Here is a 25,643-nt window from a genome sequence, read left to right on the forward strand (position 1 = left end):
TGAACCGAGATTGCGCCATTGCACTCCAACCTGGGCAACGAGAGCTAGACTTCGCCTCAAAAAAAAAAAAAAAAAAAACCACCAACAAATGTCATGTCATTTGTTACAAGAGCACAAGAAATTCATGTCTACATCTCTGTAATTTACCTGGAAATTTGGAAATTCCATGATATTTTTCTCAAAATTTATTCCATATTATTCAATGAAATTATTGACATGAGTCACCTAGATAAGTTTATTGCTCTCTTTTTTTGTCCTGTCCATGTAAAACTCTGTACTTTATTTAACATGTCATTGTTAATAAATGACATGTTATTTATTATTATTATTATGTCTAGTTTCTAAAACAAGACACATAAAAAGGATGTGTACAAAAATATATAGTGAAATGCCCACTAAAAAGTAGGTTTCTTTCCATCTGCTTCCACTTTAAGGAAGTTATTCAACTTCTCTGAACCTCAGTTTATCTGGAATATAAAAATAATATCCACCTTAAAGGAAAGTTGCAAAGGTTAATTCAGATATCTGTAAAGGTCTCAGCACATAGTAAAAGCTTAATGAAAGGTGGTTGTTATTATTTACTACTATTATTAAGAGAATAATCTTAAATAATAGTGTCCTACATTAAAGACATTTTATTTGCTTCAAATGGAAAGATATGTAAATAAAAAAGTTTATGATTTACTTTTACAATATTAAACAGTCTTTCTAGTTAAGAAAAACAGTGATCTTGATTAAATGCTTGACAGATCAGGAATGAGCCATTTCTAAAAGATTATTTCAATATAAAAATATTATGCTCTCTTCATGTTAAAAACTCTCAATAAACTATGCATTAAAGGAACATACCTCAAAATAATGAGTCATCTATGACAAACCCACAGCCAATATCATACTGAATGGGCAAAAGCTGGAAGCATTCCCCTTGAAAACTGGCACAGGACAAGGATGCCCTCTCTCACCACTCCTATTCAACATAGTATTGGAAGTCCTGGCCAGAGCAATAAGGCAAGAGAAAGCAATAAACGGCATCTGAATAGCAAGAGAGGAAGTCAAACTATTTCTGTTTGCAGACGACATGATTCCATATTTAGAAAACCCCATAGTCTTGGCTCAAAAGCTCCTTCAGCTGATAACTTCAGCAAAGTCGCAGGATGTAAAATAAATGTACAAAAAACACTAGCACTCCTATACACCAACAACAGTCAAGCTGAGAGCCAAATCAGAAAGGCACTCTCATTCACAATTGTCACTAAAAAAATAAAATACCTAGCAATACAGCTAACCAGGGAGGTGAAAGATCTCTACAATGAGAATTACAAAATACTGTGCAAAGAAATCAGAGAAGCCACAAACAAATGGAAAAACATCCCATGCTCATGGATAGGAAGAACCAATGTCATTAAAATGGTCATATTGCCCAAAGCAATTTACAGATAAAATGTTATTCCTATCAAACTACCAATAACATTCTTCACAGAATTAGGAAAAACTATTTTAAAATTCATATGGAACTAAAAAAGAGCCCAAATAGCAAAGCCAAAAAGAACAAACCTGGAGGCATCACATTACCTGACTTCAAACTATACTACAGTGGCCAAAACAGCATGGTACTGGTAAAACAAACAAACAAACAAACGAAAACAAAAAACAAAAAAAAAAACAGGCACATAGACCAATGAAACAGAATGCAGAGTCCAAAAATAAGGCCACACACCTATGACCATCTGAACTTCAACAAAGCTGACAAAAACAAGCAATAGAGAAAAGACTCCCTAGTCAATACATGGTGCTGGGATAACTGGCTAACCATATGCAGAAGATTGAAACTGGACTCCTTCTTTACACCATATACAAAAATCAACTCAAGATGGAATAAATACTTAAATATAAAACCCAAAACTATAAAAACCCTGGAAGACAACCTAGGCAATACTATCCTGGACTTAGGAACAGGTGAAGATTTCATGACAAAGATGCTAAAAGCAATCGCAAAAAATTGACAAATGGGATCTAATTAAACTTAAGAGTTTTTGCACAGCAAAATAAACTATCAACAGAGTAAACAGACAATCTACAGAATGGGAGAAAATATTTTCAAACTATGCATCTGACAAAGGTCTAATATCCAGCATCTATAAGGAACTTAAACGAATTTACAAGAGAAAAACAACTACCCCATTAAAAAGTGGGCAAAGGACATGAACACTTTTCTTTCCCTTTTTTTTTCTTTTTTTTTTTTGAGACTGAGTTTCCCTCTTGTCACCCAGGCTGTAGTGCAGTGGCACACTCTCGGCTCACCGCAACTTCTGCCTCTTGGGTTCAATCGATTCTCCTGTCTCAGCCTCCCAAGTAGCCGAGATTACAGGCATGTGCCACCATGCCTGGCTAATTTTGCATTTTTAGTAGAGACGAGGTTTCTCCATGTTGGTCAGGCTGGTCTCGAACTCCCGACCTCAAGTGATTCACCCACCTCAGCCTCCCAAAGTGCTTGGATTACAGGCATGAGCCACCACGCACGGCTGAACAGACACTTTCCAAAAGAAGGCATATATGCAGCCAACGGACATATGAAAAAAAGCTCAATATCACCGATCATTAGAGAAATGCAAATCAAAACCACAATGAGATACCATCTCACACCAGTCAGAATGGCCATTATTAAAAAGTCAGCTCTTTTCCATCTTACAAGATGGAGGGTGAACAAGTTGAGAAGCCAGATACTAAAGAGAAGAAACCTGAAGTCAAGAAGGCTGATGCTGGTGGCAAGGTGAAAAAGGGTAACCTCAAGGCTAAGAAGCCCAAGAACAGGAAGCCCCATTGCAGTCAAAATCCTGTCATTGTCAGAGGGATTGGCAGATATTCTCCATCTGCTATGTATTCCAGAAAGGCCACGTGCAAGAGGAAGTACTCAGCTGTGAAATCCAAGGTTGAAAAGCAAAAGGAGAAGTTTCCTGCAACTATTACAAAACCAGCTGGTGGTGGCAAGAACGGTGGTACGCAGGTGGTTAAACTTTGCAAAATGCCTACATATTATCTTACTGAAGATGTGCTTTCAAAGCTGTTGAGCCAAGGAAAAAAACCCTTCAGTCAGCACATGAGAAAACTGTGAGCCAGGATCACTCCCAAGACCATTCTGATCATCCTCACTGAAAGCCACAGGGGCAAGAGGGTGATTTTCCTGAAGCAGCTGGCTAGTGGCTGGTTACTTGTGACTGGACCTCTGGTCCTCAATCAAGTTCCTCTACAAAGAACACACCAGAAATCTGTCATTGCCACCTCAGCCAAAATTGATATCAGCAATGTAAAAATCCCAAAACATCTTACTGATACTTACTTCAAGAAGAAGCTGCAGGCAGGGCATGGTGACTCATGTCTGTAATCCCAGCACTTTGGGAGGCCAAAGCAGGCAAATCACTTGAGGTCAGGAGTTCAAGACCAGCACGGCCAACATGGTGAAATCCTGTCTCTACTAAAAATACAAAAATTAGCCGGGTGTGGTGGCATGGGCCTGTAATCCCAGCTACTTGGGAGGCTGAGGCAGGAGAATCTCTTGAACTCAGGAGGCAGAGGTTGCAGTGAGCCCAGAGCGTGCCACTGCGCTTCAGCCTGGGTGACAAGAGGGAAACTCAGTCTCAAAAAAAAAAAAAAAAAAAAAGACGCTGCAGAAGCCCAGACACCAGGAACGTGACATGTTCCATATAGAAAGAGAAATACGAGATTACAGAGCAGCACAAGATTGATCAAAAAGCTGTGGACTCACAGATTTTAACCAAAATCAAAGCTATTCCTCAGCTCCAGGGCTACCTCTGATCTGTGTTTGCCCCGACAAATGGAATTTATCCTTACAAATTGGTGTTCTAAATTTCCTTTTTTTTTTTTTTGAGACGGAGTCTTGCTCTGTCACCCAGGCTGGGGTGCAGTGGCCTGATCTCGGCTCACTGCAAGCTCCGCCCCTCAGGTTCACGCCATTCTCCTGCCTCAGTCTTCCGAGTAGCTGGGACTACAGGCGCCCACCACCACGCCCGGCTAATTTTTTGTATTTTTTAGTAGAGACGGGGTTTCACCGTGTTAGTCAAGATAGTCTCGATCTCCTGACCTCGTGATCCACCCGCCTGGGTCTCCCAAAGTGCTGGGATTACAGGCGTGAGCCACTGCGCCCGGCCTGGTGTTCTAAATTTCTTAAGAAGAATCTAATTAAATAACTGATAACAAAAAAAAATAACAGATGCTGATGAGATTGCAGAGAAAAGGGAACACTTCTGCACTGTTGGTGGAGTGTAAATTAGTTCAACCATTGTGGAAAGCAGTATGGTGATTCCTCATAGAGCTAAAAGCAGAACTACCATTCGACCCAGCAATCCCATTATTGGGTATATACCCAGAGGAATTCTACCCTAAAGACACATGCACACGAATGTTCATTGCAGCACTGCGCACAATAGCAAAGACATGGAATCAAACTAAATGCCCATCAATGACAGATTGGATAAAGAAAATGTACGTATACACCATGGAATACTATGCAGCCATAAAAAAGAACAAGATCATGTCTTTTGCAGGTACATGGATGGAGCTGGAGGCTATTATCCTTAGCAAACTAATGCAGGAACAGAAAGCCAAATACTGCATGTTCTCACTTATAAGCAGAAGCTAAATGATGAGAACTAATGAACACAAAGAAGGAAACAACAGACACTGGGGCCCACTTGAGGGTGGAGGGTGGGAGAAGGGAGAGGAGCAGGAAAAGTAACTATTGGGTACTAGGTTTAGTACCCAGGTGGCTAAATAATCTGTACAACAAACCCCTGTGACATGGGTTTATCTATATAACAAACCTGCACATGTACCCCCGAACCTAAAATAAAAGTTTAAATAAATAAATAAATAAGAAAAAACTATTATACTCAAGACTCCTTTACCACCAATGAAATTTAAGGAGTTACAGGAATATGAATTTTCTAGTACTTACTTCATATGGCTTGCCTGTTCTCTTAAAACATCATCTAAGATGTTAAAAATAATTCAGTCACATTTATGGTCATCTACATATCTAACACCAAGAGCAGCCCCAAAACAGAATAATGATAATAAAAGGGATCTTAGCAATTAATCTAGTTTGATCTTTTTTAAGGAATAAAACTTATTCTGTATCTCCTTAACATTATAAGTTATTCTAAAATTCATCTCATGAATTGCAATAATTCTGGGAGGAGGCAAGCACATGATAAATATTTTTATATTCCATTTGTTGATGAGGAAACTTATAAACAGTAAAACTAAGCACAGTATAAAATACTTGTTATGAAAAATTAATTATAGCTAGGCTAAAGACTACTTGTATTATCTCAATTCTCACATCAATCTGAGGTAGGCGTTATTTTCTCCATTTACAAATGAGGAAACTGTGACACAGAGAAGTTACATAACTTGCCAAGTTATGCAGCTAGTACACACAGAATCAAATCCAGGCTCACTGATTCCAGAGCCTACACTCTTAACCTCTATATTATATTTTTCCTAATACCTAAAAAGAACAATTTTCTTAAATATCCATGAGTCTATAACTGACACAAATAAATGACTGAATAAATAAATAAATGGGGGAAGACAGGACAGGTCTTCTTTACAGAAAATTCCAATACATACACAAGGAATGAAGAAAATAATCACCATTAGATAAACACCAATTGTTGCAGGCAAGAACCATCAATGGATTACAGCTAAAATTAGGAGGTGAAAGTATGATGAGAAACAGAATATTTTCATAGCTTCAACACATCTCTCCATATGACATATGTTAATTACAAGGAGAAAAATAGTAATTTTACAGTGGAGAAAGCCTGCAGACACCAGGTAAACCAAGTGATCAAAGTTAATATCACCAATGATAAGATATATCAACATTATGTATGCCATGATATTGAGAAGGCTACATCACTTTTTTGATATTTCTGCCAAAAATGCACAATCTCAATCTAATAATGAGAAAACATTAGATAAACCCATATTGACGGATATTCTACGAAACAACTGACCAGTGTGCTTAGAAAGAGTAATTTAGTTAATAGTATTTTACCAATGATAATTTCCCAGTTTTGGTCTTTGTACTATGGTTATGTAAGAAGTTAATATTGAAGGAAGTTTGGTAAAGAGTATAAGGGAACTCTCTATTTTTGCAACTTTTCTGTAAGTTTTAAATTTCAAAATAAGAAGTTGAAAAAGTAACAATTTTCTTAAAATCTATAATCCAAACCTTATTAATTTATCTTCCTCTTTATTCTCAGAGAGGCCAAATTGGTAAGTTCTCCCATGAGTTGACTAGTGTCACTGGCAGAGGAGCTAAGAATAGTTCTCCATGGGTCAACTGTCTTCTCCATATACTACATGCTTCTGTAAGGAGATTGGATGATGACGATACACAATAATCTTGTATTTGTAAGTAGTAAGAACAACTATTTTAAAATGAAAGGATTCAGTCTTTTCTCTTAGAGGTGTTCATTAGTTTTTAATCATGAAATAAAATTATTGCCCATGATTCTGAGGTTCTGTGTCTTGATACTCTAAAACATTATATACAGTGAAACAGCATTCTGTTAGGATTTGTCCAATAAAGTACTTTTCATTATCATAATGTTTTAAACATGTAGACTCAGTAATCCTTACTCTAAGAATGTAGAGATATGACTGTGCTAAGGCAATAAGTATGAATAAACAGAAATGTATAGCTAGCTAACATCACAGCTTAACTCAAAAGGTCTGAACCAAGCCTAAAGCAGAAAAGTATGACAAGTGAAAGCACTGCCCAAATGCCCTTGGAGCATAATTATGAGCCCATTTTAAGGGGCAAATACTAATAGAATTGGATGAAGGATTGTGGGACAGAAGATTTAGGGGTAAAGAATAGTATTAAAGCTCAACGGAAAGAGAACAAAAACTACTCAATCTCCTTGTATTCGCTCAGCCCCCAATAATCTTGACCCTCTACTGCTTTGCTACTCAAAATGTGGTCCATGGAACGCCAGCACCAACATCATCTGGAGCTAGTTAAAAACAAAGGATATAGGCTGGTGCCTTTAATCCCAGCACTTTGGGAGACCAAGGCGGGGCCAATCACTTGAGTCCAGGAGTTCGAGATCAGCCTGGGCAACATGGAAAAATCCTGTCTCTACAAAAAAATACAAATAAATTAATGGGCATGGTAGCACATCCCTGTACTCCCAGCTACTCAGGAGGCTGAGGGAGGAGGGTCACCTGAGACCAGGAGTTTGAGGTTGCAGTAAGCCGAGTTATGATTGTAGCACTGCACTCCAGCCTGGGTGACAGGCTGTTTATTTTTTGAGACTGGGTGACCCTGTCTTGAAAAATAAAAATAAGTAAATAAATTAAATAAATAAAAATACATGATGTAATAAGACCTCATCCCAGATCCATTGACTAAAAAATCTTCATTTTAGCAAGATCCACACTTGATGAATCCCCAGGAGATTTGTACATGCACATTAAAGTTTGATCAACATTTCCCAAACACATTGAGTTTTAAGGAAATAAACAATAAGATATGTCATACCACATTAATCTCCAAATTGGTGGTTTAAGTAGCTTGGTATTTCATTAGACAGCCTTTCAATCTCACTTTAGAAGAGAAAAGCACAATAAAACATCCAGTATAAAAGGTATTTTAGGTATTCTTTATGCTTATCTGTCAGAGACTAGTTAGGAAAAAATATTTCTTTTACAATAAATTTCTTATTTTATAATTTTCTTACAAAATATACCAAATCTGTGTTTTAAAGTAAATATATTATGTATTAGACATTTTTAAAGAATACTGACAAATTAAGGTACTGAATGCAAATATATACTTTCTTACTTTCTTTTCTTTTTTTTTTTTTTTTTTGTGACGGAGTCTTACTCTCTTGGCCAGGCTGGAGTGCAGTGGTGTGATCTCGGCTCACTGCAACCTCTGCCGCCCAGGTTCAAGCGATTCTTCTGCCTCAGCCTCCTGAGTAGCTGGGATTACAGGTGCCTGCCACCACACCTGGCTAATTTTTGTAGTTTTTACTAGAGACAGGGTTTCACCATCTTGGCCAGGCTGGTCTTGAACTCCTGACCTCGTGATCCACCCCCCCCCCCCCCGCCTCCCAAAATGCTGGGATTACAGACATGAGCCACCGCACCTGGCCACTTTTCATATTCTTTCTTTTTTTTTTTTGAGACAGAGTTTCACTCTTGTTGCCCAGGCTGGAGTGCAATGGCGCAATCTCGGCTCACCGCCTCCTCCTCCTCCCAGGTTCAATCGATTCTCCTGCCTCAGCCTCCCGAGTAGCTGGGATTACAGGCATGCGCCATCACACCCGGCTAATTTTGTATTTTTAGTAGAGACGGGGTTTTTCCATGTTGGTCAGGCTCGGTCTTAAACTCCCAACCTCAGATGATCTGCCCGCCTCAGCCTCCTAAAGTGCTGGGATTACAGGCACGAGCCACCATCATATTCTTTCTTTAATGCCCAGTCTAGGTAGGGAAGATTAACATTTACTAATATGTTCATTAAAATAAACATAAAACTCGGCTACTCTGGGCACACTGCCTATGGAGCAGCCTTGCTCTTCAAAGAGAGGGAAAAAAAGAAAGAAAAATTATTTTAAAATTATTTTAAAACATAAACATAAAACTTAATAACAATGTAAATACAAAATATTCAGCTAAAAGTTGGAAGGGTTCAGACCAATATGAATTACATGATCCATTACATCTGTTTGCCATTGCAAACAAACAAAAAAAACCAGCAGTCTTTTGATTTAGAATATTTTTAGTCATCTCAACCATTTCATGAAATAGAAGATAGTTTAAAAGAGAAAAAAAATCCAGGATAGAAGTAGGGCCATATGTTCCTATTTAATATTGGCATATAAAAGAGAAAATACAAGTAATATCAGCGTGACTCCTTCAGTGAGATTTCAATGCCTCATCTCACATATTTTCAGGCTATTAGGTGACATCTAGGGCTGAAGGATTTATTCACCAGTTAGCATCTGTTAGGTGATGAACTGTGTCCCTGCAAAATTCCTGTGTTGAAGTCCTGACCTTCAGTATCTCTGTATGGGATTGCATTTGGAGAAAGGGTCTTTAAAGAGGTAATTAAGGTTAAACGAGGTCATTAGGGTGGGCCCTAATATGATTGGTGTCCTTATGAGAAGAGATTAGGAGATTAGGACACAGACACCACATAGAGACCATGTGAAGACACAGGAGAAGACAGCCATCTATGAGAGGCCTCAGAAGAAACCAACCTTTGACACTTGACCTTAGACATCTAGCCACCAGAACTATTGAGGAAATACGTTTCTATTGTTTAAGCTACTGAGTCTGGGGGTACTTCGTTATTGCAGCCCTCTCAAACTTACATAGCATCTGACATACAAGATATGCAATAGGTATTTACTGAAGGAACGAAGGTTACAGTTTATCCAGCAATTAATTCTGCCCAAAGCTGAGGCTGAAGGTTGACTTTCCACCAGTAAAGTCAGATTAAATATTTATTATGCAGTAAGACAGGCAAAAAGCTATTATTAAATATGAGGAATATCCACATACCCTCTACCCATCTTAAGAAATGAAGCATCAGCATTATAGTTGAAGCACCTATGCTCTGGTTCCCAGTGGCATCCCACTTGCTCCCATGCTAGAAATAACCACTAATTGAATTTGGTTATCATTCTCGTGTAGGATTTATTTTTTCTCTTTTCTTTTCTTTTCTTTTTTTTCTGAGACCGGGTCTTGCTGTCCCCCAGGCTGGACTGCAGTGGAACGTTCATGGCTCACTGCAGCCTCAAGCTCATCGCACCCGGCTGACTAAAACAAAAAACAAAAAACAAAAAAAATTTTTTTTGTTTAATTTGTAGAGATGGTGTCTCCTTGTGTTGTCCTGGCTGGTCTCAAACTTCTGGCCTCCAACAATCCTCTTGCCTTGGCCCGCAAATGCTGGGATTATAGGCGTAAGCCACTGTGCCCAGCCACATGTAGCATTTCTTCATACACCTATCTATAGGTTTGTAGCCCTAAACAATATACTATTATTTTTTGCATGTTTTCAAATGTTATATAAATAATATCATACTCTACAAGGACTATGTATGTTGTTTCTATACCCCTACCATCTTTTTGAGAGTCAACCATATGGATGCCCTTAACTCTGGTTTATTTGTCTTAACTGCTAAATATGAATATAGTATTTTGTTATAAAATCATACCATGATTTATTTATTTATTCTTCTGTTGACGGACATTTAGGTTGTTTTCAACTTTTTTGCTATTATCAGCAATACTGTTAAGAACATTCTCATACGTGTCTCACATACATGTGAGAGTTCTCTAGGGCAACGATTTCCAATTCCTTTCATGACCGCACATAGGAAATCTTGGAAAAGCATATAGGTAAAAAAAAGGAGGCTGTTCATAGCCAGCAGTGACCTGCCCAGGGGCTCTGGCTGCCCCAAGACCTGCTTGGCTACTCCTAGCCTAATAACAAGTGTGGGGACAAGAGTGACTTTATTTTAAATGCTAATCTGCCACGTAACTTCTGACTAACCCCGAGTCTGGGAATGCCTCCAGAATGTCTAAATGATGTATTAGTCTTTATGTAAGAACTTCTATTCACTGTAAGTTTCCTCCTAAACCACACTTGATGCAATTGCAGAAATCATAGGCTGTGATGCCCACAGCCACCTACATACTCCTTCCAGATCACATATACTTTCCCTAAGATATAAGCCCTGGGTCTGGAAGGTTTCGATGCAGAGATCTACCTGTCATGCAGCTGCCCAGAACCATATTTCTGTCTGTACATTCCCCTAATAAATCACTCAAAACTGACAAACTGGATTTGTCTGCCTCCTTCTTTGCCTTCTCAGCTCCTTCAGCATTTGGGGGCCACTTTGCACATATGGCCCTTTCACGGAACAAAGAAAGGAAGCTTCCTTGGGAGTTTCCATGGAAGGAAGAGGGAAATATACCAAGGGGACGAATTTTTGAGTACAAGAGTATGTACAGTATATCTTTAGCTTTTTAATGTCCACATTGCTCTCCAAAATGTTATACCAATTTTTACACTTCTGCTGGCAATATATGAAGTGTTGTTCTACATTTTCACCAACACTTGGTATTATCAGACATTTTAATTTTTGGATATGAAATGGTAATTCCATTGTGACTTTAATTTGCATTTTTTAGATTACCATTGAGCATCTCTTCGAATGTTTACTAGTCATTTATTTCATTTTCAGCGAATTCCCTTTTCTAATCTTTTGCCAAGAAATTATGTCTTACTCTGAGCAACTGTTCTTTTCTACCTGTGTTAGCTAGGAATCTCTCTTAAACAAAAGCACATTCTATTTTATATATCAGAGCAACTTACAAAACTACCATAGTGCACAGTCTACATTTTGAAAGCTGCTAATCTATAAAATGGTCTAGAACTGATTAAAAAGTGAAGGGGGAAACCTGACATACATTTGTTTTCTTTTTCTTCTTCTTTCTTTTTTTTTTTTTTTTTTTTTGAGACGGAGTTTCACTCTTGTTGCCCAGGCTGGACTGCAATGGCGCGCGATCTCGGCTCACTGCAACCTCCACCTCCCGGGTTTAAGCGATTCTCCTGCCTCAGCCTCCTGAGTACCTGGGATTACAGGCATGCACCACCACGCCCGGCTAATTGTGTATTTTTAGTAGAATCAGAGTTTCACCATGTTGATCAGGCTGGTCTCAAACTCCTGACCTCAAGTGATCCACCCATCTCCGCCTCCCAAAGTGCTGGGATTACAGGCGTGACCCACCAAGGCTGGCCCTGACTTATACTTATAACAAGCTCAAATCACCAAAAATTTCACTCAGACTAGATCATTTCATCCTTGGGAATGCAAAGATCTTATTTAACTAAATTTTCAGTTACTCAGGTCTCTGAGTATATTACCTGTAGTTTCTGCAGATAGAAATGGTTCTAGGCTAGGCATGGTGGCTCATGCCTATAATCCCAGCACTTTGGGAGGCCAAGGCAGGCAGATCACTTGAGGCCAGGAGTTCGAGACCAGCCTGGCCAACATGGTGAAACCCTGCCTGTACTAAAAATACAAAAATTAGCCAGTTTGGTGGCGGGCACCTGTAGTGCCAGTTATTGAGGAGGCTGAGGCATGATAATCACTAGAACCCAGAGGCAGAGGTTGCAGTGAACCAAGATGGCACCACTGCACTCCAGCCTGGGTGACAGAGCAAGACCGTCTCAAAGAAAAAAAAAGAAATGTTTCTTGCTGTGGAGTGGTTGCAATACAGAAATCCAGTTTCTTTGGCCATCTCAAAATGCTACAAATGGTGAACTTATTTGTAATAAAAAGTATGAATTCAGGATCGTTATTTTAAAGGAGTCTGCACAGGATTTGATAGCTGGTTGGTAGTCATGCTACAAGCCAACTCAGCTATAATATTCTCACTGTGGCTATTATCAATTTACCTACTCAGAAAGGTGGAATCACTGAAATTATTGAATGTGCAGACAGAACTCTTCATGCAGATAATTTTTACTCAATGATTTAAAGCTATTAAATGCTTTTGCTACCATAAAGCTCAGCACATCACAGTTGGTGAACTGTGATGAAAATTTAACAAATTCTGTTTGATTTGAGGCTGCGTAGACACTAAGCCTCTGAAATCACTTGAAGCATATTTTTCCTAAGTTTTTTCTTCATAAAAATTGCATGTTTTACAAATTATGATGGAGCAGGTCAAATCTTCCCATTAGTATTTCTATTATTGTATAGTAATACAAGATCAAGTCTTAATGGAAATTATATTTAGAAGCTATGGATGACATTTTCTGAAATTGATTCTATGTTTAAATTTTCTTGTCAATGGGAAATACATATAACCATAAGTGAAAAATAAGCTAAAACATGTTTACCTTTTGATTTCTAATAATCGAAGCTGATATTTATTGAGCATTTACTATGCACCAGGCACTGTGTAAAATACTTTTTTGCACATTATTTCATTTAATTCTCACAAATTCATGAGGTAGGTTACGTTATTACCATTTATCTGATGAAGAAATGGTTAGAGAAATTAAGAACACTGCACAAATACTAGTTGTATGACACAAGTAATCCTTTCTTTCTTTCTCTTTCTTTCTTCTTTTCTCTCTTCTCTTCTCTTCTCTTTTTTCTTTTCTTTTCTTTCTGGCAGAGTCTCACTCTGTTGCCTGGAGTGCAGTGGCATGAACATGGCTCACTGCAGCCTCGATTTCCAGGGCTCAAGCAATCCTACCGCACGCTTCTCAAGTAGCTGGGACCACAGATGTACCCGCTACACCTAGCTAATTTTTAAATTTTGTGTAGAGACAAGGTTTAGCTATGTTGCCCAGGTTGGTCTCAAATTCCTGGGCTCAAGCAATCCTCCTGACTTAGCCTCCCAAAGTGCTAGGATTACAGGCATGAACCACTGTGCCTGGCCAATACTGCCATTCTTTATGCAAATATTTTTTTCAATTGTTATCAAGTAGGAAATCTAATTAACTTCAGTTTCATTGAATTTCATCTTTACTTCCTTCCTATCCATGGCTTATGAGAGAAGTGTTAACATGAAGCAACAAGGATTATAGTAAATAGAGAATTAATAATCTAAAATAACTGAGTTGGCCATATTGTTATTATAATTATGCTGAAGCTTATTTACATATTCTTTGTTTTGTGTTGAAGCCTTGAGCTCTGGTGGGGGAAAATCATGATTTTGATTAAACACAAAATGGGCAGTTAAACCTCTAAATAGTATACATGGAGAAAGCTGAAGTACATTTAATTATTTAGATAATCATTCCTGATTATTTAACTTACATATTTACAAGCCTAAATAAAATGTACAAATGTAAATAGTGCTTTTTTTTTTGGAGACAGGTCTCACTCTGTCACCCAGGCTGCAGTGCAGTGGCACACTGTAACCTCAACCTCCTGGGCTCAGGTGATCCTCCCATCTCAGCCTCCCAAGTAGCTGGGACTGGAGGCGCTGGCCACCATGCCCAACTAATTTTTTGTATTTTTTTGTACAGACAGAGTTTCATCATATTGTCTAAGCTGGTCTTGAACTTCTGGACTCAAACGATTGGCCTCGCCTTGGCCTTCCAAAGTGTTGGGATTACAGGAGTAAGCCACGTGCCTGACCAATACTGCATTTTTTGACTTCCTGTTTTCTATCCTTAAAGCACTGATTTCTTGGACCCAGTGAAAACAAATTTTTCAAGTTGAAGATTTTAAGTTAATGTAGTCATTCATATTTGAAGGATGTCATGATTTATTTTTTAAATTTAATGTCTTTACTATTGAAAATATTTCTTGTTATTATAGTTTACTTATACCCTAAATTAAAAATAAGTAGGCACTTCATATTCTGGATTTGCTGTCACTTGCCTGCAACAAAACAAGTAACTGGGTTTATCCTGGATGAGTCACAAAGCAAGAGCTTGGATTTTATCATTGGTTTCAGTTCTATTTTTAGAGGTATGGGGATACAAAAGAAGTTCTTAATTTGGAGACATTTAAAATGGCTTGTGTGGTTTTCTTCAGGAAGGAAGGATGCTGTCTAACTTCAGGACCATCACAGCACCCTTTAAATATGTAATAATTATTTTGTTCAAAATGTTTATGTTCCATATCTTATCGCTCAATGTATAAAATATCACTGCCACTGACATCAATGAAATTTTATGTGAAATGGAATGAGTTAGTAAGTGTCAAGTAGGTATTTTCCTCGTCCCTCAAAAAGTTATGTGCCCAAGTATAAATCATCAAAAGGATAAAGATTCTTTCCATCTATTGCTTACAGACTGACTATTGTTTAAAAAGGCACGAATTTCATAGACAAGTCTTTATCTCCTTCTTTCTTAAAAAAGCACAGAAAATGGGGAAAAATCTTCTATACTGCAATCTAAATTATAGGTAAGAAAAATAAAAACCAAGTGACATAGGAGATTGGCAGTGAATTTTCAAATATCAGTAATTTACAGGATTTACAGGATTTTCATTAGCGTTGTTTCCATGTTTTCTGTAAGATACGAACATTTAAATTGATAAGAATGGAATGTTCATATAACATTTCTTGTATCCATTTAAAGATTCACATTTTCACTTTAATATATAACTTAAGACTTTTCTTTCAAAACACATCTAAAAATTAGTAAAATGCCTAAAGGGAAGCTTTATTTACTTGGTAGAAAAGCTGAAAGAAAAAAAACATATTCTTCACAATTTCAGAGGTGACAAAAATCTCTTATATTTCAGTAGTTTCTGATCTCCCTTAAGGGATTTGAGAATTATATATAATATTGCATAATCTTAAGCTGATTAATGTTAAAGTGCTATTGGTCTATTTTAACTGTGTACTTCTTAAAATATAATGAAAGAATTTATTTGGTAATCCTGAATCTATTGACCTCACAAACACTGGTCATTATTTTGGTGGAAATATTCATAAGCATTTTTAGTTACTGATTTCTAACAATTGTTTCTTATTATCTTCCTGATTTTACAATTCCCCAAAGTAAAGGTGCGAAAAACAAACATCTACCCTCCTTTTCGACAAATGCCATGATAGAGGGGAGACCTGTGTGGTGTAAAGACAAATGCAGACATTTGGAAGTTGATGGTTTTAAGATTCAGTAAAAACTTGAGAGTTTTGGCTTCAAATCCCCACGCTAGTTTTAGTTCTACCGGATACGTGTCCCCTACCCATTTCAAAGGACCCAGTCACCTCGGCTCTTGCCTGAGTTTCAGAGTCCCGCCGGAGTTAGAGCTGGCAGAGTCCAATTGCTCAGAGCGCCGAGGCGGGGGCGGGGCAGGGGGACGCTTGCAGGTCCGGTGGTCCCGCGGGCTGCGAGCCCCCACGGCCGACCCTAGCTGCAGACCCTCCTGGAGAACCTCAGGCCTTTCCCCCAGAAACATCCCTAAAAGGCGTTCCCTTTGTTCATTCATTCAACAAATATTTGTTCAATCTCATATGCCCCTCTGTCTTGGGAAAACCAATTAGGGCCTCTGCAGCCTCAACACAGGGGCACTGTTCCCGCCTATTAATGACGCAATGAACCCGGGAAGACGAATCTCGACCACTGTTTCGCAAATACCGCGTGTGATTTATTAAATGCCGTCTCTCCGAGTCCCAAGCGGCCGGGAGCATTATGCCACCTCCCTTGCCCTCATCTCTCACTGCCATGCAAGAAAGCGTTAATGGCAAATAGGGCACGTAGCCACACTCCGTCGTTCCTGCTTCCAAGCAAACCTTGTGCCAGGTTCCTCATTTCGCGAGGCTCCACTCTCTTGGGCTTCAGGCTGCCGCTGGGCCTCCAGCACCAAAGGGCAATAGGGGTCTGAGAGTCCGGGCCTCAGGCATCTTCAGGCCGCAGGTGGGTGGAGAATAACGCCCGCGCGTGGCAGCGGCCCAGGCCGTCTCAGCCGGATTTTTCCATCCCCGGGGTAGGCTTGGTCCCCTGTACACTCCAGCGGAACTACAACTCCCAGCACCGTGGCTGCCCGGACTCCCGGAAGCCGAATCCCGGCTGGGAGGAAGCAGCTGAGACCCGGCCAACAGACTGGGGGTTAATTTAGCCAGAAAAGGGGGCGGGAAGGGCTGTAGGGTACTTGTCAATTCGCCGCCATGAACGTGGTTTTTGCTGTGAAGCAGTACATTTCCAAAATGATAGAGGACAGCGGGCCTGGTATGAAAGTACTTCTCATGGATAAAGAGACGGTGAGTTTGCTTTTGCTCAGCATTTGTGAAGGAACCCTCTCAACCTTACAATTGCTCGTCCCATTCCACTGTAGGACTTAGCATTTAATTAAACATACGAAAATGAGGGTCGGTTTGTGTGGAATTGAAAAGTTGTTTATATAAAGCTTGCCCGGTGGGTTTTCAGTCTACATGGCTCCAGCCACTGCCTAGAGACTACTTCTACCCGGAACAATTTATTGGAATCAGAAATCCTTTTCTAAATGTCCCCGCCAAGAAATCATTAATATGTCAGAGCACTTGGAAGGCTTTGGGATGGGCCTACTGTTTCCACTCAACATTGTGTTTTTAAAGTAAAGCTGTTGGAGCTCAAGCTGAAATGACAGATTATTTGTTGGCCACAGACCAGAAAACAAAACTCTTTAAGGTGATAGAAAAAAATATTTTTGGAAACTTATGGATTGTTCCTGTTCAAAGAGACCATGTTTTTTGTTTTTAATCTTGAAGCTTCAGCTGAAAGGATAGAGCGTATTTTTCATTCTCGTATGTTACCTACCTGTTTGGATGTTCAGTAAATGTTTTCCGTATATTACTATTTAAGTTATCCAGCTAAGTATTAATGAAAAAAGAGGGTTAGATGTGCTACTTGTTTTTATTATTCTAGACTAGCATACTTTTAGTTAATCTTTTGTTTTTACAGACTGGCATAGTGAGTATGGTATACACACAATCGGAGATTCTACAGAAGGAAGTGTACCTCTTTGAACGCATTGATTCTCAAAATCGAGAGATCATGAAACACCTGAAGGCAATTTGTTTTCTTCGACCTACAAAGGTACTGCATAAACTGAGCTTCCATCTGCCCAGGCAGATGCAGAACACTCTGATCTGAAAGCATTAAGAAGGCAAAATAAATTTGTATTATCATAATTTGTGGCATCATAATTATCCTGGTTCATCAGTGTTATAACCTTCATTTTTCTTGTTTTGTTTCCATATTTCAGTTGACCCCTTACAGCCAGTTCTTCCTTCAAGATGTTTTTTAGGTTCACAGCCATTCCCATTGCCACTAATGAACTACTCTTAACGGAGACCCACATTACTTTATTCCTGGATTAACCTCCGTATCTGTCACATTGAACACCATCAACACTTAATTTTATATACAGCTATGAGTGTCTTGAATCTTTGCCACTTTATTCACATTTATGCTCAGGAACCTGTGGTGGCTTGATGTTACTTCCATGATTAAATCTATATTTAGCCCAGCCATTAAAGCCCTACTTTGTTGGTTTGATCTGCCCATGTGTATCCAGCCTTCCTATGTCCTAGGTCTGCTTCTCCTCTATAGCCAGCTAGGCTACTGTTGGAATGAGCAATTCTACATGCTCATTCCTGTTCCTTGTTTTTTTTTTCTTGCACTGATTAAAAGTTCTTTGGCCATTTGTCACTTTTTATCCATCATCTTCTAAATCTAGCTTGAGTCTCTCCTTTAAAAAGCCTTTGCTATTTTAATCTTATTTGTTACACTTTTTTTTTTTTTTTGAGATGGAGTCTCGCTCTGTCGCCCAGGCTGGAGTGCAGTGGCGCAATCTCGGCTCACTGCAAGCTCCGCCTCCCGGGTTCACGCCATTCTCCTGCCTCAGCCTCCCGAGTAGCTGGGACTACAGGTGCCCGCCACCACGCCCGGCTAATTTTTTGTATTTTTAGTAGAGACAGGGTTTCACTGTGTTAGCCAGGATGGTCTTGATCTCCTGACCTCATGATCCGCCCGCCTTGGCCTCCCAAAGTGCTGGGATTACAGGCGGGAGCCACCGTGCCCGGCTGTTATACTTTCTTGATTCATATTCATGTTCTTCAACTCTAATGCATTTTATCATGCTTGTGCATATGAACTTTCCAAAATGCAAATTTGATCATGACACTCCTGCTTGAAATCCTTGAATGACTTCTCATTGCTTTTCTGATAAGGGCAAAACTCCTTAATTGTAGCCTTCAAGGTGCAGCATGGTCTGGTTTCTACCATTTCTCCAGCCTCATTTCGAACCATCCCCCTTTTGCACTCTGCATCTTAATCACCCTATGTATATCAATCCGCTATATTCCCCTTGTCCCGTCATGCCACGGGACGTTTGCATAGTCTTCTTCCTCTGCCTGGAACTTAACTTCTTCAAGTAACCCTTCACTGTTTTTGCTGACCAGGTCAAACCTGCCCCTTATATGCATTTACAACACCATCTTTATCTCCCTATTGTGTGTAATGGTTTGAACTTTTATATGGTTTATGTGATTACCAGCAGTAAGCTCCATGAAAACAGATATGATATCTGTTTTTTCTCACCCTATATTCCCAATTCCTGTCACACAGTGGACACTCAATAAACAGTTGCTGAATTAATGAACACATGCTGTGTTATAATAGTTTCCAATTGTTTCATGTTTGTAGCTCTTAGTCATGAAATTTTGGTTCAAGAGATATGTTAGAGATCATCTAGTTCATTATTTCCTAATGTTTTTTATTAGAGAAACTCTTTCACTGTTATGTACTGTCTCTCGAACTCTTTTAAGAATCTTTCCTTTTGGCCGGGCGCGGTGGCTCACGCCTGTAATCCTAGCACTTTGGGAGGCCAAGGCAGGCGGATCACGAGGTCAGGAGATCGAGACCATCCTGGCCAACATGGTGAAACCCCGTCTCTACTAAAAATACAAAAAAAAAAAACAACAAAAAAATTAGCCAGGCATGGTGGCAGGCGCCTGTAGTCCCAGCTACTAGGGAGGCTGAGGCAGGAGAATCGCTTGAACCAGGGAGTCAGAGGTTGCAGTAAGCTGAGATCACGCCACTGTAGTCCAGCCTGGCGACAGAGCAAGACTCCGTCTCAAAAAATAATAATAAAATAAAAATTAAAAATAATTTTTAAAAAAGAATCTTTCCTTTTTCTTTTTCCTCTTTTATATATTCTCTTTTGTCTTTTTCCACATTGTCTGAACTTTTAAGAATCTTTTAATTCACTTTGTTATTTTTGCCTAGCATATTACGAGGAAGTAATTGAGGTTTAAAAGATTTATTATTTAAATTTTTTGCCTTAAGATTATATTATAAAGTTAATTTGAAATCTAAATTGCATTTTTAAATCTAAATTACAATTTTTAAAACCCTTTCCCCATTAATAAGCAGTATATATTGCTTACTTTTTTTTAATTCTGTAAAGAAATGTGATTTTTAAAACAAATTAATATGTTTAGGGAACAATTTATATTGAAATTTAACCAGGTGTTATAGTATCAAAAACCAATAAAACCTGCATTATAATCTTATGTAATTGGAATCTTATATTTTGACCATATAAAAATCAACTTTTTTGTTTTAAACTTTCATACTTTATTTTAAAACAATGTAATTGTAGAAAAGATCTTAGCCTGCTACTTGCAAATACTTCACAAACATTGTAGTTGTGCAGAGTCTTACATCCCAATAAGTTAAAAGCCAAAGTGAATATAATTAACTTTATTTTCTCTTGCATGTTAATTTTTAAAGGAATAGACACATTTAATGCTCTATATAGGAATTTTGATCAGGCCAGGCGCAGTGGCTCATGCCTGTAATCCTAACACTTTGGGAGGCCAAGCCAGGTGGATCAGTTGAGGTCAGGAGTTCGAGACCAGCCTGGCCAACATGGTGAAACCCCGTCTCTGCTACAATTACAAAAAATTAGCTGGGTATGGTGGCACAAACCTGTAATCTCAGCTACTTGGGAGGCTGAGACAGGAGAATTGCTTGAACCCAGGAGACGGAGGTTACAGTGAGCCAAGATTGTGCCATTGCACTCCAGCCTGGGCAACAGAGTGAGACTTAATCTCAAAAAAAAAAAAAAAGAATTTTGAGCAAATGAATACAATTTATAGACAAGCAGCTTGATGTGAGTTTGCAGAATTATAATCAATTTTATGTTGTGTTTCAACATCTGTGTCCTTTATATTCTTTATCTTAATTGGCCAAAATGCAGCTGGTTAATATTTAATATTATACACATATTATTAAATAATATATGATTCCCGATCATTGTATTTAATTTATCTCTTTTGTCTCCAGCCCTTACCCACCAACATAAGCACACTTAACCTAGACTTCAATATGCAGTAGACGCAGTAAATAAACAAATCAATGGGTGAATGCTTATTACTTTTTTCCTTAAGCAACTCTCCTCATATTTTGTTTGCTTGTTCTTCATTTTCTAGGAGAATGTGGATTATATTATTCAGGAGCTCCGAAGACCCAAATACACTATATATTTCATTTGTAAGTATGTTAGTTCACTTTTTCAAACATGTAACAACATCCCAGTTAGTGTGTTTCATTGAGCCCTTCATATCATCAATAACTTCATTGAATCTGTCACTATAAAAGTCTAGTTTATTTAATGTCCTTCCAAAGTATTAAAAATCTTTTGACCTGCCGGGCGCGGTGGCTCACACCTGTAATCCCAGCACTTTGGGAGGCCAAGGCGGGCGGATCATCTGAGGAGTTTGAGACCAGCCTGACCAACATGGTGAAACCCCATCTCTACTAAAAATACAAGATTAGCTGGGCATGGTGGCACATGCCTGTAATCCCAGCTACTTGGGAGGCTGAGGCAGGAGAATCGCTTGAACCGGAGAGGCGGAGATTGCAGTGAGCCGAGATTGCGCCATTGCACTCCAGCCTGGGCAACAAAGCGAAACTCCATCTCAAAAAAAAAAAAAATACTTTTGACCAATATTCTGTTTCAGAGGGCTAAATGTGATTTCCATTCATCTTTGATTGCTTAAATTAAAAATTTTACATTTTACTTTGCCTTTCAAGATGCTTTGTAAGTCAAAAGTTTTAAGTAGACAAATTTCACATCTCACCCCTGCCAAAAAAAAAAAGTATATACTTATCCCTGTTTTACACTTAAAAATTGAGGCATGGAAGCTGATTTATTTTTTGAAGTGGGAAGGTAATACTTGAGTTTGCTGGAAAAGCAGAAATTTACTTTACATACCAGATAAAAGCCTTTCACTTCTCTTTGTTACTATATTTAATGCACTGAAAGTATAAATCATCAGGTAGTGATCTCTTATGTGCACAACTTTCTTGGAGTGGGGGTTAGGTAGGGGAGATCTGGAAATAAACTAGGTTTGTGTTTACTATACAATTTACATGGATTTTTTTGATCCAATACATTCGGCTGTAGAAGTTACATCTATTCTCCTCTAGATGTCATTATTTATCTTTATGTTAATAGTGTTAGTGTAGTCTATTTGGTAACATTTCCAAAACCAAGGACTAGATTTAACAGTAAGTAGGGCATTTGAGAAGTTTTAAAGCTTACTTAAAGGTATTAGAGTTTTAGGGTTTAGACTACAGTCTAAGACGTACATACTTTCTTCAGCGTATACTACTTAAATAGAATAATGATACAAAAAATTAACATTTGCGAAAAGACTATATATATATAAGAGCTCTCTCATATTTTATTTCATTCAGTTCTGTGTAGAATTGAAAAGTTACATAAAGCTTGTCCAGTGGGTTTTCAGTGCACGACGCCCCAAGAGGTAAAAATAGGCAATTTTATTAATCTGTGGCAACTTAATTTTTGTTTGTTTTTGTCTGTTTGTTTTTGGCTAATAGTCACAGGTTTTCTTTTTAAAATTAAACTTTCTATTTTGAAGTAATTGTAGATTCATGTGCAGTTAAAAAAAAAACAACGAATAATAATACAGAGATCCCAGATACCCTTTACCCAGCTTCCCCCTGTGTAGTATCTTACATGATGATAGTACAATATCACAACCAAGATGTTAACACTGATACAGTCAGGATACACAACATTTTCATCTCTATAAGGATCCCTTTTATTAGCTTATATGGACTTCTGTCCCACCCCAACCCCCTCATTAACCCTGGTAACCACTAATATTTTCTCCATTTTATATTTTGTCATTCGAAGAATGTTCTATAAATGAAATCATACAGCATATAATCTTTTGGGACTGGCTTTTTTCACTCAGCATAATTCTCTGGAGAGTCATCCAGGCTGTTCTGTGTGTGTGTGTGTGTTGTTTTTGTTTTTTTTTTTTGTCCGAGAAGCAGTCTTGCTTTGTCACCCAGGCTGGAGTGCAGTGTCGCCATCTCAACTCACTGCAACCTCCACCTCCCGGGTTCAAGCGATTCTCCCACCTCAGCCTCCCGAGTAGCTAGGATTACAGGTACACACCACCACGCCCAGCTAATTTTTGTATTTTTTTTTAGTAGAGACAGGGTTTCACCGTGTTGGTTGTCCAGACTGGTCTCAAACTCCTGACCTTGGGTGATACGCCCGCTTCAGCCTCCCGAAGTACTGGGATTACAGGCATGAGCCACCACACCTCACCTGTTGTGTGTATTAATAGTTCATTCCTCCTTTGAGCTGGAACTGCAAAAAAAAAAGTTTTCTTAATTTAAAAATAGTTCATTTCTTTTTATTGCTGAGTAGTATTCCATGGTATGAATGTACCACAGTTTGTTTAACTATACACCATTGAAGGACATATGAGTTATTTCCAGTTTTGGCTATTACAAATAAAGCTGCTATAAATATCTGTGTACAGATTTTTATGTGAACATTAAGTCTTCATTCTCTGGGGTAAATAACCCCCAGGAGTGCAACTGCTGAGTCATATGGTAATTCCATGTGTGATCTGCCCACCTTGGCCTCCCAAAGTGATGGGATTACAGGTGTGAGCCACCGCACCGAACTTTTAAAGACATACAAAAGTAGAATAGTATCATAAGTTCCAATGTACCTATCAGCTGGTTTCAACAATTATTGAGCCTCACCCAATCTTGTTTTAGCTATACTGTCACCTACTTCTCCAGCAATATTATTTTAAAGCAAATCTAAGACATTATATAATTTTATCCATAAGTATTTCAGTAGGCATCTCTAAAAGATAAGGACTCATTTTTTTAAAAAACACATTTCCATTATTACATCTAGATTAAAAGTGAAAAATAATTATTTATTCTTTTTTTTTTTTTTTTTTTTTTTTGAGACACAGTCTCCCTCTGTCACCCAGACAGAGTGCAGTGGCATGATCTCGGCTCACTGTAACCTCAACTTCCCAGGTTCAAGTGATGTTGCCCAGGCTGGTCTTGAACTCTTAGTACCATTTTCAAATAACCATTCAGCGTTCAAATTTAAAATTGTCTTTTTTTTTTTTTTTTTTTACAGTTTTTTAAAATCAGGATCAAAGTAAGGTTCACACATTGCTGTTGGTTGATATGTTAAGTTTCTTAATCTTCTGTATAGGTCCTCCCACCCCTGCCCCTGCTGCCCCATGCAATTTATTTATTGAAGAAACTGTTAAGTTTTCCACAGACTGGATCTTGCTGATTGCATCCCCAGGGGGTAGTTTAACATGTTCCTTGAAGTTTAAAATATTCCTCTGTCTTCTAGTTCCTGTAAATTCATAGGTGAATACAGAGCCTTAATTAGGTTAAGATTTGATTTCTTCTTGGCAAGAATACTTTATAGGTGGTATTGTGTGCTTTCATTGGCTGCTTATTCTTTTGATATTAGTAGCTGCTGATGCTCAATGCCTGGGTCCATTCAATTGATTCATTGGGGGTTAGAAAAAATGATGATATTCTAATTCTGTCATTAACATTTGTTAGTTATTGTTGAGCTGGAATGTTTTCACAAAGAAAAATTTTCCCTCATCTATTTGGTTACCTGGTAGTACAGTTTATATATAAAAGACAGCATGAAAGTTTACTTCTTTCTCCTTATTTTCAATAAAATGACTTACTTCCCTAGTATTCTCATTCTCCAATTCCTCCGATGGAGTCTTCCTCTATCGCCCAGGCTGGAGTGCAGTGGCCTGATCTGGGCTCACTGCAAGCTCTGCCTCCTGGGTTCATGCCATTCTCCTGTCTCAGCCTCCCGAGTAGCTGGGACTACAGGCGTCCGCCACCACGCCCAGCTAATTTTTTTTTGTATTTTTAGTAGAGACGGGGTTTCACCGTGTTAGCCAGGATGGTCTCGATCTCCTGACCTCATGATCCACCTGCCTCAGCCTCCCAAAGTGCTGGGATTACAGGTGTGAGCCACCGCGCCTGGCCAGTCCTTTTAAAATATATATATATATATATATAAAATTATGAATTTGTGGATTAAATATATTTTTGCTACCCATTCCAATTTGAAGGTCACTTATTCATTAGGCTTTAACTATCAGGCCCTTTTACATATATTGCAGCAGAAATTATCTCCTTTGAGTCAACCCCAACTCATGTGTTTCAGATTTCAGTAATGTGATCAGCAAGAGTGACGTGAAGTCATTGGCTGAAGCTGATGAACAGGAAGTTGTGGCTGAGGTTCAGGTAAACATATTGGTCCTGTAACACATCTCGTATGTTGGCCCTTTTTAAATATTTGAGTCTAAAAATAAAAAATAAGGAAAGGTCTGTCTCAAAAGAAGTTTTATTATGAATACTTGAATATGTTTATCACATAAATGAGGAATATTGTTTTCAGAGGCAGCAAATAAACTAGTTTTGAATTTTTCAGAAGGATGTGATAGGTGATAAATGAATAAAAAGAATACCTGTTTTAAATTATATTCTCTCTCATGACAACACATTGGACAGCAAAGTTCTTTTTTATCTGAGTAGAACATTGTATCTCCTATTAGCAGTATTTTATTTTTACTAATTGATAAGTATGCATAGAGGTCTCCAGAAATATAATGTGTATAACCTTACAACCTTTATTTGTTAGATTTATTATTATTGCTACTGTTTTGTAATTATTTTAATTCTCCCACGTTGACTGTTGTTACCCAATTATTAATTGAACAATTTAGTATCTCTTTACACCTGTATT

General features: G+C 38.3%; 2 protein-coding genes, 1 long non-coding RNA gene and 1 pseudogene across 11 annotated transcripts in view, besides 2 other annotated features; 3 read left to right on the plus strand and 1 right to left on the minus strand.

Annotated features, from left to right (window-relative positions):
* The window catches only part of LOC124904413 (uncharacterized), a 45,061-nt gene extending 38,709 nt beyond the window's left edge, over positions 1-6,352 (plus strand). Inside the window, exon 3 of the long non-coding RNA XR_007066598.1 lies at positions 6,288-6,352. This is a non-coding gene — a long non-coding RNA (uncharacterized LOC124904413). The remainder of the gene's footprint in view (positions 1-6,287) is intronic.
* The window catches only part of OTUD7B (OTU deubiquitinase 7B), a 129,842-nt gene extending 113,360 nt beyond the window's left edge, over positions 1-16,482 (minus strand). For 2 of the 3 annotated variants that reach the window (XM_047425721.1, XM_047425716.1), the window contains exon 1: positions 16,312-16,482. The gene's annotated coding sequence lies outside the window, so the exon portion shown is untranslated. Of the gene's footprint in view, positions 1-15,786 lie in introns of all 3 variants that reach the window. The other variant, XM_047425712.1, reaches the window with a different exon arrangement.
* On the plus strand, positions 2,674-3,869 carry RPL6P31 (ribosomal protein L6 pseudogene 31; annotated as a pseudogene).
* Positions 15,782-16,021: a silencer, noted in NCBI's record as "silent region_1293". NCBI's record gives its function as "represses an Ori minimal core promoter by ATAC-STARR-seq in GM12878 lymphoblastoid cells {active_cell/tissue: GM12878}" and the evidence as "EXISTENCE:reporter gene assay evidence [ECO:0000049][PMID:35858748]".
* The window catches only part of VPS45 (vacuolar protein sorting 45 homolog), a 77,948-nt gene continuing 68,515 nt past the window's right edge, over positions 16,211-25,643 (plus strand). For 4 of the 7 annotated variants that reach the window (NR_103998.2, XR_007069452.1, XR_921734.4 and 1 more), the window contains exons 1-4: positions 16,605-16,779; positions 17,459-17,593; positions 20,995-21,055; positions 25,062-25,141. Coding sequence is in view for 4 of the 7 variants with exons in the window: in NM_007259.5 (NP_009190.2) it covers positions 16,687-16,779; positions 17,459-17,593; positions 20,995-21,055; positions 25,062-25,141 (369 nt within the window). In the remaining 3 variants the exon portion in view is untranslated. Of the gene's footprint in view, positions 16,436-16,604; positions 16,780-17,438; positions 17,594-20,994; positions 21,056-25,061; positions 25,142-25,643 lie in introns of those variants that run through there. The other 3 variants (XM_024452791.2, NM_001279353.2, NM_001279354.2) reach the window with 2 other exon arrangements.
* Positions 16,232-16,561: an enhancer, noted in NCBI's record as "active region_1669". NCBI's record gives its function as "activates an Ori minimal core promoter by ATAC-STARR-seq in GM12878 lymphoblastoid cells {active_cell/tissue: GM12878}" and the evidence as "EXISTENCE:reporter gene assay evidence [ECO:0000049][PMID:35858748]".

The sequence above is a fragment of the Homo sapiens genome, chromosome 1 (assembly GCF_000001405.40).
Source record: "Homo sapiens chromosome 1, GRCh38.p14 Primary Assembly".
Lineage (NCBI taxonomy): Eukaryota > Metazoa > Chordata > Mammalia > Primates > Hominidae > Homo > Homo sapiens.